Raw genomic sequence first — 19,218 nt, forward strand, 5'->3', positions numbered from 1 at the left:
CTTCCCAGACTGCCTGGATTACACAGCAGCAGGAAATGATCTGAGGTCTTCATGTGACTCTCGGTACGCTGCACCTTCCTGAGACCTGGACCCCTGCACTGCATGGTGGCATGGCTTCAACTGGCTGCTGCCTATGACACACGCTGAAAAGAGCTGAGCCCAAATAGCCTGACCAGCCTTGTTCTAAAATAGCTTTGAGGAGAACGTTTGACACTCTTTGGCTAACCTCCATACCCCCTGACCCTTTTCTCCCTGAACTTGATTCATTGGAACCATTTAGTCCTTCACTGTATCCAGAGTAATTTAGAGCTCAGCTATCCGCCTGCAGGGACAAGATTCTATTTGGGTGACCTTAGTTTCTAGGTCTCCTCCTATTGCCCCTAGAGTATTTACATGCGGGTGTGTGAGCTTGGAGGAGAGGCAGGAAACACCACGTTTACATTTTATTATGTACAGTAACCAGCAGGATGTGGATTAATAGATGTCCTTTTATACAAGGGACTGAGTCAGGCCAAACGACAGAATCCTGTCATTGAGATGGACCAGACGAGTAAAGGAGGGTAAGGGAACTAAGGCGAACAATACAACAATAGTGTGACACATCAAAGGAGCCACAAGTCTGCGGAAAAAAAAAATAAAAGCAAAGAAAATAGGAAGTTTTCAAGCTAGTGACTTATCCCTCGTAACCTCCCAGTAACTGCCTGCTACCTAGTTGTATAGATGCTTGTTTTCCTAATTTTGATGCCATCTCTCTATAGTTATATATAACTAGAAGGCAGTTGACTATGTTTATGGCCAACATCAAGCAATTCTTCAGGCAGGTTCAGGAACTCCTTTGCTATCCCTTCATAATTTTTTTTTTTTTTAAGACAGTCTTGCTCTGTCACCCAGGCTGGAGTGCAGTGGCGTGATTTTGGCTCACTGCAGCCTCCATCTCCTGGGTTCAAGCGATTCTCCTGCCTCAGCCTCCTGAGTAGCTGCGACTACAGGCGCATGCCACCACGCCTGGCTAATTTTTTGTATTTTTATTAGAGACAGGGTCTCACCATGTTGGCCAGGCTGGACTCGAACTCCTAGCCTCAAGTGATCCACCTGCCTTGGCCTCCCCAAATGCTGGGATTACAGGTGTGAGCCACCACGCCTGGCCTGTGATCATTTTTGATGCTTTCCTTTGATCTTCCAATTTCTCTTCCTGCTGCTCACTGTAAGCCACTCCTAGGTTCTGCACCCCCCCTCACTTTTCCTTATCGTGGCTTTCCATTCAACCTGACCACTCTCTCCAACTACTCTACAATGCCAACGTCAGTGCGTCTGTATCCTGGTGGGTCAGCTTCTGGCCGGGAAGAAAGGACCTCTAAGGACATCTTTTTATACAGTCACCAGTGTGACAGCATATTACTTAGAAAAAGTCATATGCCATACCTCCATAAAAGCCAAATAAAAGGAACTCTCTTCTTATTTAGATCATTAATGAGATAACCAGGAGGTGGGGGCGGGGAGACTTCTGGTGTTCAAGTGATCAGATCTGTGAGAGGAAAACTTTTTCACATCCTATAATAAAGAGAAGCTGTGCCCCCAACTTCTCCTTATTAAAGGTGACATGTCTGGGGAGAGTAGCAGAAAGAGCTACAATACGTATTTTTAAATATCCAGTGTCTATGTATGTGAATGTAGAAAAGTACCGCTTGCTACTAAACAGATCCTGGGATTAGTGGGCTTTGCAGGAACGTCCTAAAACAGGAGCAAGGTGGTTAATTCAGCTAGTGCTGAGATTTCCAGCCACCAGAGGGCTATTCTGACATGGAGGGCACATTTGGGGAGTGGTAATAATAAAGGGCTATTGCTTCACTGCTTGAAGCACCAATAAGGCACAGTTACCTCCTTGGGAAAGCGTGGCCAATGGCTCACAGAGTGACTCTCTGGCCTTATGGCTAAGTAAATTCAGTAAGTCAATATTTCCTGCTTATTTGAAAAAAAAAAAAAAAAAAAAAAACAACAACTAGCAAGTGCTCATTTCCAAATGCTAACAACTCTACCAATAAAAATACAGTTATGGGCCACATAATGACATTTTAGTCCACGACAGACCAAACATATGATGGTGGCCCCATAATACCGTATTTTTTACTGTACCTTTTCTAGTTTGTTTAGATACGCAAATCCCTGCCAGTGTGTTACAACTGTCTATAGTATTCAGTGCAGCAATATGCTGCACAGGTGTGGAGCCTAGGAGCAATAGTTGTAGGTGTGTAGCCCAGGTGTGTAGCAGGCTATACCATCTAGATTTATGTACATGTACTTTATGATGTTTGCACAGCGATCAAACCGCCCCATGCCACATTTCTCAGAACGTTCTCTCCAGTGTGAAGTGGTATGTGACTGTTCTAGGCTTGTTTCATTTATACATTTGTTCTCAGGAGTTTTTTTCCTAGGGTTCCTATCTCTGTGATCTTCTGCGGGCATTTTTCACTCTAAAAACAAAAAATCTCCTGGAAACCAAAGCTTTCATCATGACTTCTTCAGGCACGATGGTATGTAAGTACAATGGTATTCTGTCCTGAGTGACTGAGGTGAGTCCAACTGGAAATATTGATGTACTCATTTTTGTTCTTACTGAAGTAGGGTTACTGATTAATGAAGGTTAGCCAGAGCCGGAAATAAAGGTATTTCCATGTACTTGAGGGTGAGAGTGCCTGTTAAGGTAGGAAGAGGATGTTGCAGAAGCATCACTTCTGTGGGTGCAGACGCTGGAATGCTAAGAAAAATGGTGCTCTGAAAGCCCACCGTGCTCTCTCACCTGGGAACATGCCTAGGCTGGGTTGCAACTCCCTGTGTTCAGGTTCTACCATCCCAGCTAAACTACATCTTTTTTGAGGACAGAAAAGCGGAATGTGGTCTATTTCAACATTGCTGTACAGACACACTATGGGGCTGCACAGAGGGCTGCTTTCAGGAAGGACAGTCACAAAGGTCTTGAGGGGAAGGAGCTGAGAGGAAATAAACAAAACAAACACGAATGAGGTGGAGCCCCTCATCTAGAAAGGCTTCCAGTTGCTCTCCAGTAGACAGCAAAATGAGGAGAGAAGAGCTGAACAGCCATCCTTCCCGATTTTGCTCCTGCAAGGATACCTCCTGGCTTAAAAATTAATGTCAGAATCTGGGTCAAAGTGTCAACTTCTCCTCTGACATTTTAAGTCCAATGAGACACTGCTTGGTAAACTGACTAAAAAAAGAGCGTTTTAATTCAGGCAGCTGGAAGAGCACTTAAAAGGCAACCGGTTATCTGGGAGGTGAGAGATACCATTTTCCACTCCCTGAGGCTTGCGCGGAGAACTAAAAGGAAGGAGTGTTAAAATGATGTGTCAGGGATTCTCAAATCCGACTGCACATCTCATTCATTTGGGGAAATTTTCAACACTCAGATTCGCAGCCTCCTATTTGGGGATTCTTTTTCCTTAGGTCTGAGGTAGGACCTGGTCTCACGCACAGCCAGGGGAAGGAGCTCCAGGTGGAGGCCTTGCTTTTATGCTCAGCATCACTGGGGTCTGTTACGGGCTAAAACGTGTCCCCCTAGAATTCATATGTTGAAGTCCTAAGCTGCCAGTACCTCCACCTGTGACTGTATTTGCAGATAGGGTCGAAGAGGTTATTAAAGTTAAACAAGGTCATCAGGGTTGATCCTAATCCACTATGACTGGTGTCCTTGTAGGAAGAGGTTAGGACACAGCAGAAAAACAGAGTGAAGGTCATGTGAAGATACAGGGAGCAGACAGGCATCTGCAAACCAAGGAGAGATGCCTGGGGAGGAACCAACCTGGCTGATACCTTGATCTTACACTCCAGAAATGTGAGAGGGTAAATTTCTGTTGCTTAATCCACCCATCTGTGTTACTTTGTTATGGAAGCCCGAGGAAGCCAAGTCTTTGGCCTCTGGCATCAAAGAAGGCAACTTCAACGGACAGACCGGCAACAAAGAGAATTATATTAAATAAACTAAAAAGTGCTCTTGAAGGCCAGGCATGGTGGCTCATGCCTGTAATCCCAGCACCTTGGGAGGTTGGGGAGGGCGGATCACTTGAGGCCAGGAATTCAAGACCAGCCTGGCCAACATGGCAAAACCCTGTCTCTACTAAAAATACAAAAATTAGCCAGGCGTGGTGGTATGCCCCTGTAATCCCAGTTACTCAGGAGGCTGAGAGTGAGGTAGGAGAATCGCTTGAACCTGGGAGGTGGAGGTTGCAGTGAGCGGAGATCATGCCACTGCACTCCAGCCTGGGTGAAAGAGCAAGACTCCATCTCAAAAAACAAAGAAACAACAACAACAAAAGAAAACAACAAAACCATGAAAAAAACCAAAACAACAACAGCAGCAAAAAAGGGGTCTTGAATTACTCAAGTATGAAGACATCTTTATTTGCTCAAATATGGAATTAAATTTTTTTAAAAATTAATTTGAGCAGAAATGAAATAAGCTGATACTAATGAAAACCTATCTTACACTGTTTTGAGGGACATAAGCTTAGATACTATCACAAAAGGTGCAATGGCCAAACATGACAGTGGGGTCATTGCTTTTATGTGCTCACACTCTGATCTATGGGTCAGTCCGTTCCTTTCCACCCTGCTGCCTGCTGTTCTCTTGGTTTCCTTCCTCACACTGCTCATCCACGTCAGTATGAATGGGGAAATGAGGCTCCACCCCAATTTCCATCAGCAGCTTCTGTTGTAGTCTGCAGAGGTTTTAATTGCTGAGCAAAATGAAATTTCTGGCTTCACCACAAATTTCATTTATTTAAACTCTGCCTGTCCTCTTCTAATCAAGAATGGTTTAGAGCCCATTTCCTTGGGGATAGTGGAATCTTCAACTCCCTAGAAACACCTGGACTTTTCTCTGATGGAAAAAGCAATGGGGGCCAGACGCGGTGGCTCACGCCTGTAATCCCAGCACTTTGGGAAGCCAAGGCGGGTGGATCACCTGAGGTCAGGAGTTCGAGACCAGCCTGACCAATATGGTGAAACCCTGTCTCTACTAAAAACAAAAATTAGCCGGGCATGGTGGCGTGTGCCCATAGTCCCAGCTACTCAGGAAGCTGAGACAAGAGAATTGCTTGAACCCAGGAGGCAGAGGTTGCAGTGAGCCAAGATCCAGCCTGGGCAACAGCGCGAGACTGTCTCAAAAAAAAAAAAAAAAAGCAATGGGGAATATGAGGGGAAATCTGGACTCTGAGCTTGACCTTGCATAATTTGAACCCTTCTGTCTCGGCCTCAGTTCCCTCATCTACAAGATGAGAAGATCAATTTGATTGGTCATCATCAATAAATCTTTCAGCTCTAAAAATTCCATAACTCTTAAAATATCGCAATTAAATGTCACACAAATTTTTCAGTTTCCCTGTGCATATAAAAGTTATGTTTACACTATACTCTCTGCAAGACAGTTTCCTAAAAAGTTGCATATACTGTGAGATTTTAACACTTTTTCCCCCATCCAAATGGCATTTCAAATGCATAAAAATAACTTATTCGTAAATTTTCTTTCTCTCTTTCTTGTTTTAGTATAGCACCTTGAAACTAAGATATTTCAGGTGGAAGTGCAGGGTAATAGGTTGCAGAACTCTCAAATAACAATCATGTATGTTTTGGTGGGCCATTTGGTATAGTGTGATTTCCTGAGAAACTTTAAAGGTAAGAGTCTGCACTGAAAAGTCACATTATTTACTATTACCTGGTTGTATTGAGAGGCCAGACTATTTAAGACAAAAGAAATCCAAGAATAAACATGTTTAGTTTTTTTGGAAAAAGCAACTTCCTACTTCTATTTTTATTTTTAACTTCTTGTACTGGTTTTTGTTGCTTGTGTTTGAAAAAAAAAAGTCTAAGAGTAATCATGCTTTTTTAAAGTCATGCATTATCATTTGTATTATTTTGATAACTTCAACACAAATTGTAAGTTGAGATAACAACACACACTCTCAATACCTTGAGCAGAATATTCACGGTAAGTTGCAATGAATGAAAACCAAAACAAGAAAGAACAACTGTAACCCAAGCATCATGGAAGCACACTGATTCGTTTTTTAAAAGAGATACTTAGCTAGTTCTTAGCAAAAAGCTAAGCCTAATTCTCTCATAGTCTTAATTCCCACTTGGAAACATGCAGTCAAGTTTACCTACCTCCACCACACCATGATGAATGGATGTGTACTGTTTCTTCTTCAGCATCACCAAGGTGATGACGATCACTGTCGCTATGACAACACCGCCCACCATGAGTCCAATGATTGCACCTTTGTTTGAACCCACATCTTCTGCAAAGAACACCTTGAAAACAAATTAAGAAAAAGAATTTTAATTTCTAAATGCAATATAATTTACAATTTATAAACGCAATTAGAAGAATTTCATTTCTTAAATGCAGGGGACATTTGGATGAGGTTATATAAAAAGTTTCAGTATATTCTCTGCCCAACTGGTTGGTCAAATATTTGATGCTTACTTTAAAAAAAAAAAAAAAAAAAGAAATCACATATTTTCCTACTAAGAATGATAATCATAGTTTATAGAAGGATGTACAACATGTGGCTTCCCCAGTTCGAGGAAGTCTACTTTCCCCACAGGTCAAAACCGAAGTCTGCAGGGACCTGAAACCCTTTGACAGGTGGAACATTTGGTGAGTGGTGGGAAGATAGCGCTTGGATCTATCAAAAGCTGGAAAGGCACGATCATACTAATGAAAGGAGGTCAGCATTTTCCTAGTCATAGCACTCTGAGCCCTGATGTGTGACTCTAAGTGACTGAGACTTAGGTGTTTTTCAACTCTGCAGATGTCCTAATTTCCTTGGAGGGACACTTTTAATGCACAGGAATAGGCATTCTGAAACAAAGGAGTTAAACAATAGAAAAAAAGATATCTTGTTACCTACTTTTAGCTATAGTAATTCTGCAGAATTCTAATTAACCTTTAGCAGTGTAATGCTTTTTAAAGCATAATGTTATTTCAAAGTGAAGTACAGGCAACAAGAATTTTAAGTCACTCATAACTCATGCTTTCTAACTATTGTCTCCAGAAACCAAAATCTGAAATGTTGCTTTATTCTTGCTCTTTATTTGGATTAAACATAAAAATAATTTTGAGAACATTGTAAAGAAGGAATAAAATTTCATTTACTGCACTACATTGCTTCATACTGTTTATAAAAGCAAGTCATTATTTTTCAACTTTATCTACTTGAATGAAATTATAGAAGCACACCACAACTTTTATCATCTTGTTATATAAGGAGTTGATCTTATGCCAGATGAAGTAAAACTAAAGCTAAATATTACCACGTTTGCTCTGCAACTTAATGAAAATACAGGCATACATAGCTTTATTGTACAGTAGTGCTTACAGATAGTATTTAAAAAAAAAAAACAAAAAGGTTTCTGGTAACCCTGCATCGAACAAGTCTATTGGTGCCATTTTTCCAACAGTGAACACAGGTTCACTTCATGTCTGTGTCACATTTTGGTAATTATTTAAATATTCAAACATTAAAAATTATTATATCTGTTTGGTGATCTGTGATCAGTGGCCTTTGATGTTACTATTTTAATTGTTTTGGAGTGTCATGAAACATGCCCATAAAGACAGCAAACTAAATCAATAAATGTTGTGTGTGTTCTGTCTGCCCCCCAAACTGGCCACTCCACCCCCTCAACTCCCAGGCTCCCTATCCCTTGAGAGACAACAATATTGAAAGTGGGCCAGTAAATAACCCTACAGTGGCCTCTTAAGTATTCAAGTGAAAGGAAGAGTCACAGGTCTCTCACTTTAAAGCAAAAGCTAGAAATAATTAAGCTTAGTGGGCAAGGCATATTGAAAGCCAAGATTCTTGTGCCAGTTAGCCAAGTTGTGAATGCAAAGAAAAGCTCTTGAAGGAGATTAAAAGTGCTACTCCAGTGAGCACACAAATGATAAAGCAAAACAGCCTTATTGCTGATACGGAGAAAACTTTTAGTTGTCTGGATGGAAGATCAAACCAACCACAACATTCTCTTAGGCCAAAGCCTAATCAAGAACAAGGCCCACAACTGTCTTCAATTCTATGAAGGATGAGAGAGGTGAAGAAGCTGCAGAAGAAAAAAAAGTTGGGAGAGGTTGATTTCATGAGGTTTAAGGGAAGAAGCCATCTCCATAACACAGAAGTGCAAGGTGAAGCAGCAAGTGCTGATGTAGAAGCTGCAATAAGTTATCCAGAAGATCTAGATAAGACTCCTGATGAAGGTGGCTACACTAAATAACAGATTTTCAGTGGAGATGAAACAGACTTATTTGGAAGAAAATGCCATCTAGGACTTTCATCACTAGAGAGAAGTCCTGCCTTCAAAGCTTCAAAGAACAAGCTGACTCTCTTGTTAGGGGCTAATGCAGCTGGCGACTTTGTTTTTGAAGCCAAGACTGACCATTGTAAAAGTCCTAGGGCGCTTAAGAATTATTCTAAATCTACTGTGCCCATGCTCTATAAATGGAACAAAACTGGGATGACAGCACATCTCTTAACAGCATGGTTTACTGAATATTTTAAACCCACTGTTGAGACCTACTGCTCAGAAAAGACTCATTTCAAAATATTACTGCTCACTAACAAAGCACCTAGTCACCCAAGAGCTCTGAAGGACAGGTACAGGGAGATTACTGTTGTTTTCATGCCTGCTAACACAACATCCATTCTGCAGCCTGTGGATCAACTTTCAAGTCTTATTATTTCAGCCTCTTATTATTTCAAAATATATTTCAAATATATTTTGTAGGGCTATTCACTGCCATAGATAGCGATTCCTCTAATGGATCTGGGCAAAGTAAACTGCAAACCTTCTAAAAAGGATTCACCATTCCAGATGCCATTAAGAACATCTGTGATCCATGGGAGATCAAAACATCAGCAATAACGGGAGTTTGGAAGACAATGATTCCAACTCTCATGGGTGACTTTGAGGAGTTCAAGACTTCAGTAAAGGATGTCACAGCAGATGTGGTGGAAATAACAAGAGAACTAGAATTAGAAGTGGAGCCTAAAGACATGACTGAACTGCTACCATCTCATGATCAAACTTGAATGGATGAGGAGTTACCTCTTATGGATGAGCAAAGAAAGTGGTTTCTTGCAATGGAATCTACTCTTGGTGAAGATGCTATGAACACTGTTGAAATGACAACAAAGGATTTAGGATATCACATAAACTCGATGAAGCAGTGGCTAGATTTGCGAAGACTGACTCCAATTTTGAAAGCTGTTCTACTGTGAGCAAAATGCTATCAAACAGCATCACATGCTACAGAGACATCTTTTTGTGAAAGGAAGAGTCAATCGATGCAGCAAACTTCATTATTGTCTTATTTTAGGAAATTGCCACAGCCACCACAAACCTCAGCAGCCACCACCTGGATTAGCCTGCAGCAGTGAACATCAAGGCAAGATTCTCCACGAGCAAAAAGATTAGGACTTGCTGAAGACTCAGATGATCATTAGCATTTTTAGTAATAAAATATTTTACTAATAAAAGTAAAGTATATACATGGCTTTTTTTTTTTTTAGACATAATGCTATTGCACATGTAACAGACTAGAGTATAGTGTAAATACAAACTTTTTTTTTTTTTTGAGACAGAGTCTTGCTCTTGTTGCCCAGGCTGGAGTGCGATCTCGGCTCACTGCAACCTCTGCCTCCTGGGATCAAGAGATTCTCTTGCCTCAGCCTCCCGAGTAGCTGGGACTACAGGCACATGCCACCATATGCAGCTAATTTTTGTATTTTTAGTAGAGATGGCATTTCACCATGTTGGCCAGGATGCTCTCGACCTCCTGACCTTGTGATCCACCTGCCTTGGCCTCCCAAAGTGCTGGGATTACAGGCATGAGCCACCGTGCCTGGCCAACATAACTTTTATATGTACTGGGAAGCCAAAAAATTTGTGTGACATTTTGTTGCAAAATTTGTTTTATTGTGGTGTTCTGAAATTTCCAAGGTATGCCTGTACCTCCCTAAAAAATTCTTTCAATTTAGCCTCAAGGTAGTCAAATGACTGATTTTTCTAAGCTGAAACTAACATACTAGCAATCTGGAAAGGCAATATAAAATATAGCAAATGAAGCAACTTCTAAAAGTGTTTTACTCGTGGTTTATAACAAAATGAGAAATTGTTCATAATTATTCCCTTTACTAAACAAATATGCTAGCTCAACATTTTTATGAAAAGCAAATCATTAATTAGCTAATATACTAGTGTGAGGTAATCAGGAATAAATACAAGTCTGGACATATGCCTGTGCCTTTAAGAAAATACTGTAATTTTGTAATATTCATTGCACTAATTATAATACATTATCTTAACTAGTCCAGTAGAGGGAGCTGATTCTCCTAATTGCTGCCGCTGCCATTAGTCACTGTCGCATTATAGGCGTTAGTGTAATTGTGGGGATGGGCTTATATGACACAGGCCCCAGGCCCCGACAAATGCAAATCTGTACATTAATCGTCAGCTTTCTACCCCACCAACTCTTCAACTCTTTAGTGGTTCCCCAGTTTTTATTAACCTCTTCAGCAACAGCCTCATCAAGAGAAACCCTGATCTTATAACAACTGATACTAGATTATCTTGCCAATGAAAACCATGCTTCAAAAAGCTAAATGTCTTTCTACAAAAAAAGAACTATGGGAGTTAAGAATGCAAATCCAAATCCCAAGTCAGTTTTTTATTTGCTACAATTATTTGGAGTCAAGTAAGGCATAAATAATAATTTGGAGGTGTTTCTTTTAGAGATTAATACTAGGATTTATCAACTTTATGAATATTGAAAAGACATTTTCTGCTTGGAAAAAAGTAACACTCACACACACACACACACAAAACAAAACAAAAGAAGTGCCTGAGATAACTTTAAGTATTATTGCTATGGAAATTTTCTTACCATTTTTCTGTCCACCACTGAATGTGATAAAATTGTCGTCTTCATTAATTTAACCCTCTTACTGCACCTACTGATAAGATGGAACCCTAACATAATCCACGATTTGATTTATCTCCATTTCTAAGCTTTTGGTAAAGGATTTTATATAACTACTAGAGCTGACCACAAAGGAGATGTGGCTTTTTGATTTACTCCAATTCTAACATTAGGGGGGAAAAGTGATTTCATCTGAAAAGGAAGCTGCTGTCTTCTTTGCACAAACCTTTTGATGAATAACACTATCGGGAACATCATGGGGTCCTGCTCACTCCATGATCTTACTCTTGCAAGAGAAGTTAAATCATGGGAGGTAGGGGAGGGAATGAAAAGAAAGAGCTGGGGGAGAAATGAATGGGTAAAGGAAGACAGTTCCGGATGTGAATTTAAGCCACATAAAGTGTTCTGTAAAACCAAGCAGTGTATGCATGTGTTTGATCCTTCAAATAAACCTATTGTAAACCTATTTTCCCAGAAAACACAGTGGAAGTCAAAGTGGCTGCTATATTGAAATTAATTCCACTTTAAGTCCCGAGTCATGCACGAACTTTGCTGCCTTGTAGTCTGAAAGAACTATACATACAGCCTCTTTCTTTTCTTTTTTTTTTTTGGGATGGAGTCTCGCTCTGTCGCCTAGGCACGATCTCAGCTCACTGCAACCTCCACCTCCTGGGTTCAAGCAAGTCTCCTGCGTCAGCCTCCCCAGCAGCTGGGACTACAGGTGTTTGCCACCACACCCAGCTAATCTTTTTTGTATTTTTAGTAGAGATGGGGTTTCACCATATTGGCCAGGCTGGTCTCGAATTTCTGACCTCGTGATCCACCCGCCTTGGCCTCCCAAAGTGCTGGGATTACAGGCTTGAGCCACTGCGCTCAGCCTAGCCTATTTATTTTCTTCATGTTTTCATGGTAATCCTATAGGCAAGCATTGTATTTTTATCTTTTCCTTAATTTGATTTCTAGCACAGGATGAACCAGAGTTAATAGGTCATTTGGCAAGACAAACAGTAGTGGAAAGAGGTAAATTATTTTACGTACCAATTTTTGATGATGAACTTCATATCCTGAGTCATGTCGGAATTCTGCATCCATCTTCACTTCAGAGATCTCCTCCGTCTTGATATTTGTCAACCCAGAACCTGTATTACATCATAATTAAAGTATGCAGGACAACCAATTAGTTTTACTCATAAATAATAACACTGTAAGACAAAGCCTACCCAAAACTTCTTTCTAGGCCTGAAGTTAGAAGAAAATTGATAAATGACTCTTAAAGAAAAATGATACCCTATATTTAAAACTTCAATTACTACCTATTTTGAACAAAAAGAAATGAAAGGGTAAGGGAAACCTGAAAGTAAGGCTTCTGCTGCCTTTAAATACATGCTATAATTTTTGAAAATGGGGGAAAAGCAGAAGTTAAATCCTGGTTGAGAGGTTGGCAAGGATTTGTTCCTGGAATATGTTGGCTTGGCTTACGGGCTTATTGTTTAGCCTATTATGTGTCTTTTTCCATGTGCACTCATTACTTCAGAAATAATAATAAAAGGCTTTAAAAATGAGCATTAATTACCTGGTAGAACAAAACTGCTACTTTGGGGCTTTGTTCCAATTACAAATAAATTATGTTCATGTATCTATGCAGTGAAGCGTTGTAAAAATTATATAATTTTAGTCAAGTGTTCTAGTTACACAGATTGTAATTGGTTCGTCTGCTGAATAAAGAGCTATAGTACATAATTTTAAAAATGCTTCTTAGCAACTAACAGAATTTATAACCTACGAACTCTTCCTTTTCTATAAATTGCTATATGATTCTTAACACTAATTGTTCTGATGAATTTCATTATTCAAATAATAATTTGAAGCTTAAAACAAAATGCAGAGTCATTTAAAAACCAAAAACATAAGTAAAAAATGTAAATGTCAGTGTCCATGCTATAACATTTAATTATCAAACATCAGAATTTTAGGATGAAAAGGGCTTTTGAAGTCATCTTCTCTACCGTGTTCCCACCCAGGGGCAGATTGTCAGTTCCTGTTTGAACATAGAGGAATGTATCAATTTCCCTCCATTTTTTGATAGATTTGCCTGCCCAAACTGTCCTTTTTTTACATGAAGCCAGAATCAGCTTCCCTGTAACTTCCATCCTTTGAGCCTGATTCAACACAGAGCAAGCCTAATCCTCCCTTCCACATTAAAACCTTGAACAGGTATCACGACCCTAAGGAGAGGCATGTTCCTGCTGGTTCTTGTCTTACTTGGGCTACACATTCCCAATTCCTTTGGCTCCCAGGGGAATTCACTTCCTGCTCTTGGCCTAATCACTCTTTCAATCTTGTCTACGAGATTCTGGGAAACTTGTGACACATCTTGCTGACACTGAAAAGCACAATGTCCACAGCATATGATGTGCCAGTCTAAGAGCACAGCCTATACAAGGAGAAGGTAAGGATAATCTGACAAAACCTAGGAAATCCACGCTGGTTGTGACCTAGCACCATTTCCTCATCCAATTGTTCAAAAAGCTTCCACTTGATAACCTATTTGAAAAGAGACCCACAATCAATGTCACTCTATACCTGGCTTACAGATTGTGAAGCTATCTTCTCTCCTTTTTGCTATTCAGAACTTCATTTTCCTATCCCTACCTTCCCAGCTTTCCACAAAGACCACAGGCAATGGTGCTACTTCCCCTTCAAGTTCTCTTAGCCTGCAGTTGGTCTGGGTCATAAGAACTTGGACTTGGGTAGCAAGATGTCATAGTTTAAAATATATCCACAAATTTGCTGATACTCCTTCCTTCAAGAGGGAGAACTTGATTCCCTTCCTTCGAATGTGGTCGGGATGTAGTGACTTGCTCTAGTGAACAGAGCATGATAGAAGTGATGGTGTATGACTTCTGAGACTGGGCCAAAAAAGGCACTAAAACTTCCTTAATCTCTTTCCTGGACCTCTTGGTGCAGGGGTGCGAGATGCCATGTTGTAGGGACGCTCAAGCAGCATTACAGAGTTCACATGGTAAGATACTGAGGTCTCTTAGTAACAGTGACGTGAGTGAGCCACGTTGGAAACAGACCCACCAGGTCCAATCAAACCTTCAGATGACTTTAGCTCAGGCAGTGTCTTAACTGCAACCACATGACGGACACTGTGCCAGAACCATCCAGCTAAACCACATCCCAAATCCTGACCTATAAAAACTGTAAGAAACTAATGCTTGTTGTTTTAAGCTGCTAAATTCTCGCGTTATTTGCTACGTAGCAATAGGTAACTAATGGGCTAGGGCTTTCTTTTCTCATGTTGATCTATCTCGGGCTTTAATTTCCTTTCATCAGAAGTTCATTCTCTTTAATATAGACATAAAAGGCACAATGGAAGTGGGACAGTTTCCCTTTCTCATTCTTTAACTCTGGTCCTCTCAATGACCTAACCCTCAACCCCCAACTTCTTGCTACGAGACCCACAGAGTTCTCTATTCTTATTTATTTTCTTACTTTAATATTGTTAAGTATTTTTTGGTTAAGTTTCAACTCATTCTGCTGAAACGAACCTTTCTGACACTTATTTTTATAGGGTAGTGATGCTAAAACTCTCTTAATTCTCACTGGCTGTATATTTTAATCTTTCTATAGCCCTTTTAAATCTGAGATCCTTATATAACCAGTGATTTCTTTAGAGCTCACTCCTTTTCTGTTATTAAGATCTGGCAACGTGCCAAGCACGGTGGCTCACGCCTGTAATCCCAGCACTTTGGGAGGCCAAGCTGGGTGGATCACTTGAGGTCAGGAGTTTGAGACCAGCCTGGTCAACATGGTGAAACCCTGTCTCTACTAAAAATACAAAAAAAAAAAAAAAAAAAAAAAAAAAAAAATTAGCCAGGTGTGGTGGCGGGTGCCTGTAATCCCAGCTACTCCAGAAGGCTGAGGCATAAGAATCGCTTGAACCCGGCAGGTGGAGGTTGCAGTGAGCTGAGATTGTGCCACTGCACTCCAGCCTGGGTGACAGAATGAGACTCTGTCTCCAAAAATAAATAAATAAATAAAAGATCTAGCAACACAATAGGTTAGAACTATATTTCTGAGATTTTTAAGAAAACTTTCTTGAACAGTTTGAAGAGTCTTCCCTTTTAGATTTTGGAGCCAAATATTTATACTGAAAAATAAAAGTAAAGAATGAGCTCTGGCCGGGCACAGTGGCTCACACCTGTAATCCCAGCACTTTGGGAGGCCGAGGCGGGAGGATCACGAGGTCAAGAGATCAAGACCATGGTGAAACCCCGTCTCTACTAAAAATACAAAAAATTAGCCGGACGTGGTGGCAGGCACCTGTAGTCCCAGCTACTAGAGGCTTAGGCAGGAGAATGGTGTGAACCCAGGAGGCAGAGCTTGCAGTGAGCCGAGATTCGTGCCACTGCACTCCAGCCTGGGCGACAGAGTGAGACTCCATCTCAAAAAAAAAAAAAAAAAGAATGAGCTCTCGGCCAGGTGCAGTGACTCATGCCTGTAATCCCAGCCTTTGGGAGGCTGAGGCGGGCAAACAGTTTGAACTCAGGAGTTCGAGACCAGCCTAGCCAATATGGCAAAACTCTGTCTCTACTAAAAATACAAAAATGAGCCAGGTGTGGTGGCACATCCCTGTAATCCCAGCTGCATGGGAAACTTAGGTGGGAGGATAGCTTTAGCCCAGGAAATGGGGGTTGCAGTGAGCTGGTATCATGCCACTGTTCTCCAGCCTGGAAACAGAGACAAATCCTGTTTTAAAAAAAAAAAAAAAAAAAAAACAAAACCAAGAGCTCTCCACTAAAAACTTTACAAGCCCACACTACTTTTGAAATGATACTGTGAATACTTTTGGTGGTCCAAAAAAAAAAATTCATATTATCAAGTCAGCATGACAGATAAATTCATGTTTACAGCTCAATAGTTTGAGAAGCTCTTGGCAGAAGAGCTCTTGCTATAATAGTTCATGTTTGTTTAGCATGAATAGTCATCTAGGGAAGACTTTTTACATTAAGCAAATCTTACTAAAAGACAAAATCAGTAAGCTGGCACATAGGGAAATATTCATAATAAGGTGATAATGCATGTAATAAAATGTGATGAGTAGTTTCAAATAAATGGCAGGGACCTTGGTTTGCAGGCTTACTTAGAGGTCTTTCTTGAGTTGTGCTGATTTCACCCTAAGCCCTGGTGACTCCAGCTCTCTCTTCCTGTAAGTCATGATGAGTGGACAGAGCCTTTTGTTCATGTGGGGGCTAAGGGAGGTATGTCCTTCATGACACCTCTTGCATGGCTCGGGTCAAGGACCTGGTTTCCCTTTATTTGGACTGCAGAAGGGTGGTGATGAATTGTAACAGAAAGGGTAGCTTTCTACCCTATGTGAAGAGCTCGCTAATGTGTTTTTCTTTTTTATTCTGGTCAAACTGTATAATTAGTCCTTCAGAGTCTATTTTTTCTTTGGAAGTAAGCCAGGAGGAGGAGCTATAATGGCCACTATGCCCCCAAATCACCACTGTTATTACAATGGTCCCTACTTGACACTGCATGCTGGAAGCTACCATATTCTGTTTTTTTAGATATGAGAGTTAAGGAGAAGCCATTTTCCTCAGTCATGATTATAAAGCACTGGGTGGGGGAAAAACAAAAACCTTTTTTTAACTTGTTTCTGAGGACAACAGTGATTATTCAAAAACAATGCCATCACTTGAACGGCATGACAATCTTGGGAAGGCTTTCTAAGTTTGGAAAGGCTAAAGATATAATTCGGCACATTAGACTCAAGTGGGTGGTCTCTAAAATGTGAAGAAGAACCAAAGCTATGCTACAAAACACGGGGAAATTAGCCCAAATGTTTGATAAACTTACTACAAGCACAAAAACAGAACACACGCATGGCTTAATACATGTGCAGTAAATACTGCTATTCATAGACAAACCTTAACTAGAATCTTCCTCACTTCATATCTGAGCATTCTTTCTCAACTTTAGCCATCTTACTGGGCAACCCAAGCCTACGCTGTGTATGAAAGGAAGCTTGGCTTAGGCCACCCTCTCTTCTGAATAGAATTGTTCCCTTCTTCTTTGCCAATCCAGGTGCCTCAAATCTTTCATAACCTCTCTGGAAGCCCATCTCCAGTAAGTTCTCTACTTAACATGCCCCTGGGTTAGTACTCCATCTCCTCCCATCACAGAACATTCTTGTTAGCACTTAATGTTGCTTTGTATTTCCTTGTCTTCCAAATTCCATCTCATGTTTCCAAATATGCAAAATTCCTTCTATTATACCTCAAGCTCCTGAGAGCAGGGACCCTACCGTTTAATTTCTTTCAAACCTAGAAAGAATTTAGTGGATTGATCTTTGTGAAATCCCCAAGTGACATCATATTCTTACTGTTATGAGAAAGGTTTTGGATGGTTTTCTCCCACCAGTGTAATACCATTAACTATTCTCTAGCTCTTCCTTTAAAACACACTGTTTTTGTTTGACAGCGTTTGGAGGTGTCCTTTTTGTTAGATTTAGATTAAAAAAAATTTTTTTTAAAAGAATAGGCCGGGCATGGTGCTTATGCCTGTAATCCCAGCACTTTGGGATGCCGAGGTGGGTGGATCACCTGAGGTCAGTAGTTCGAGACCAGCCTGGCCAACATGGTGAAATCCCGTCTCTACTGAAAATACAAAAAAATTAGCTGGGCATGGTGGGGCGCATCTGTAGTCCCAGCTACTTGAGAGGCTGGGGCACAAGAATTGCTTGAACCCCCGAGGCAGAGGTTGCAGTGAGTTGAGATCGTGCCACTCCACTCCAGCCTGGGGGACACAGCGAGACTCCATCTCAAAAAAAAAAAAAAAAAATCAAAAAACAATTTTTTTAAAAAAGAAAAAAACATTGACTGGTAGTGTCACCTGTTCCTGGATGTTTCAATAGTAACATATAGGCTCTCCTGGCCCAATGTAGAAATTTGATAAAATTGAATGAGTCGAATGAGCGCTTTCTAAGTTACATTTTATGCTTGTAGATGAAGAGCATGTCTTTTAAAGAGAAGCACCATGAAAAAAGTCCCAAGGCAAATGACCAACCTGAGCTGGCTGTGGTTGCAATTAGAACTGAACTGACCCTCAGCCCGAGGCCTTACAAGTTGGCTGAGCAGAACAGGAATGTCAACTCCTGGCTCCTTGAGATTCCCTTACATGACATTGACAATAAGGAGGACATTAGAAGAACTGAAACTGTCTCTGACTCACTATAATTTAAGTTCCCCTTAAAAGCCTACAGACAGAAATTCATAAATCAACGAGACCAGCTGTCAAGACGTGTCACACTACTGTCTCTGCTGCCACTGTTAATCACAGCATAAAGGCATGAAGATGCCACAGGCAGACTCTCAGTCTTCATCAGTGACCGTGCTTGGAGGCAGTCATGGCTCGAGCCTGTGGTGGAAGTGTGAGGGACAGGGTGGGTCTCCTGGTCTGCTGCTGACTGTATCTGAACCAGGCAGCAAAGGTTGACCTCTGTGTATTAATATCTTCAAAGAAAGTTAATTCCCTGTTCTTTGACTATCGCCTGGGGACATTATGAGGATAAAGAAGAAAATAAATATGGAAAAGTATGTGTTATTTGGGATTAAAATCTCCCTGGAATACACAAATTTGTCAATTCAATAACTTTCTTCCTCTTTTTGATTCACTGAAAGCACTGGCTACTATCAGTTGGGTGAGGTTGTTCATAGAGTAGACACCAGGCACATATATGCTTCTGCTGTGCTATGACATTATTCATAAAATAAAAATGTGTTTCTTCTTAATGTTTGTGAAACTGTAAAAAAAGAAGTGTCTATTTCAGTGTTAATGGGATTTTTAAGTAATACATAAAAAAAGGGCTTATGTGCAAAATTATGCATCCACATCTGTTGTGTTACTTTAGCCACTCATTGAGAATAAGTACATACAACCCACAAAACAGAAGATGTATTTTGGGCTCTGGAAAGAAACCAATTCTGGTATTTTCAGGAAATCATGTCTACTTCAGTAACTGATTGAAGTTTGAGCCCAGTTCAGTTAGAAAATTACCCATCTGGACACCAAACAAGAAAGGAGAGATGTTCACACTGGTATCCAAGTCATCACCTGAGAGTCTACATCTATCTGGGCTTCTGTTTTTAAGGACAGGCTGTATATAATCGTCTCTGTTTTTGTTTTGTTTTGTTTGTTTTAAAGAAAAAAGAAAAAAAAAA

The 19,218-nt window shown here is 40.5% G+C and overlaps 1 protein-coding gene across 11 annotated transcripts in view; it reads right to left on the bottom strand.

The window, feature by feature from the left end:
* Positions 1-19,218, bottom strand: part of APP (amyloid beta precursor protein) — a 290,579-nt gene that overhangs the window by 4,998 nt on the left and 266,363 nt on the right. For all 11 annotated transcript variants that reach the window (NM_001136131.3, NM_001136129.3, NM_001136130.3 and 8 more), the window contains 2 exons: positions 12,026-12,126; positions 6,175-6,321 (listed from right to left, as the gene is read on the bottom strand). In NM_001136131.3, coding sequence (NP_001129603.1) covers positions 6,175-6,321; positions 12,026-12,126 — 248 coding nt within the window. The remainder of the gene's footprint in view (positions 1-6,174; positions 6,322-12,025; positions 12,127-19,218) is intronic.

The sequence above is a fragment of the Homo sapiens genome, chromosome 21 (genome assembly GCF_000001405.40).
Source record: "Homo sapiens chromosome 21, GRCh38.p14 Primary Assembly".
In the NCBI taxonomy this organism is placed as follows: Eukaryota; Metazoa; Chordata; class Mammalia; order Primates; family Hominidae; genus Homo; species Homo sapiens.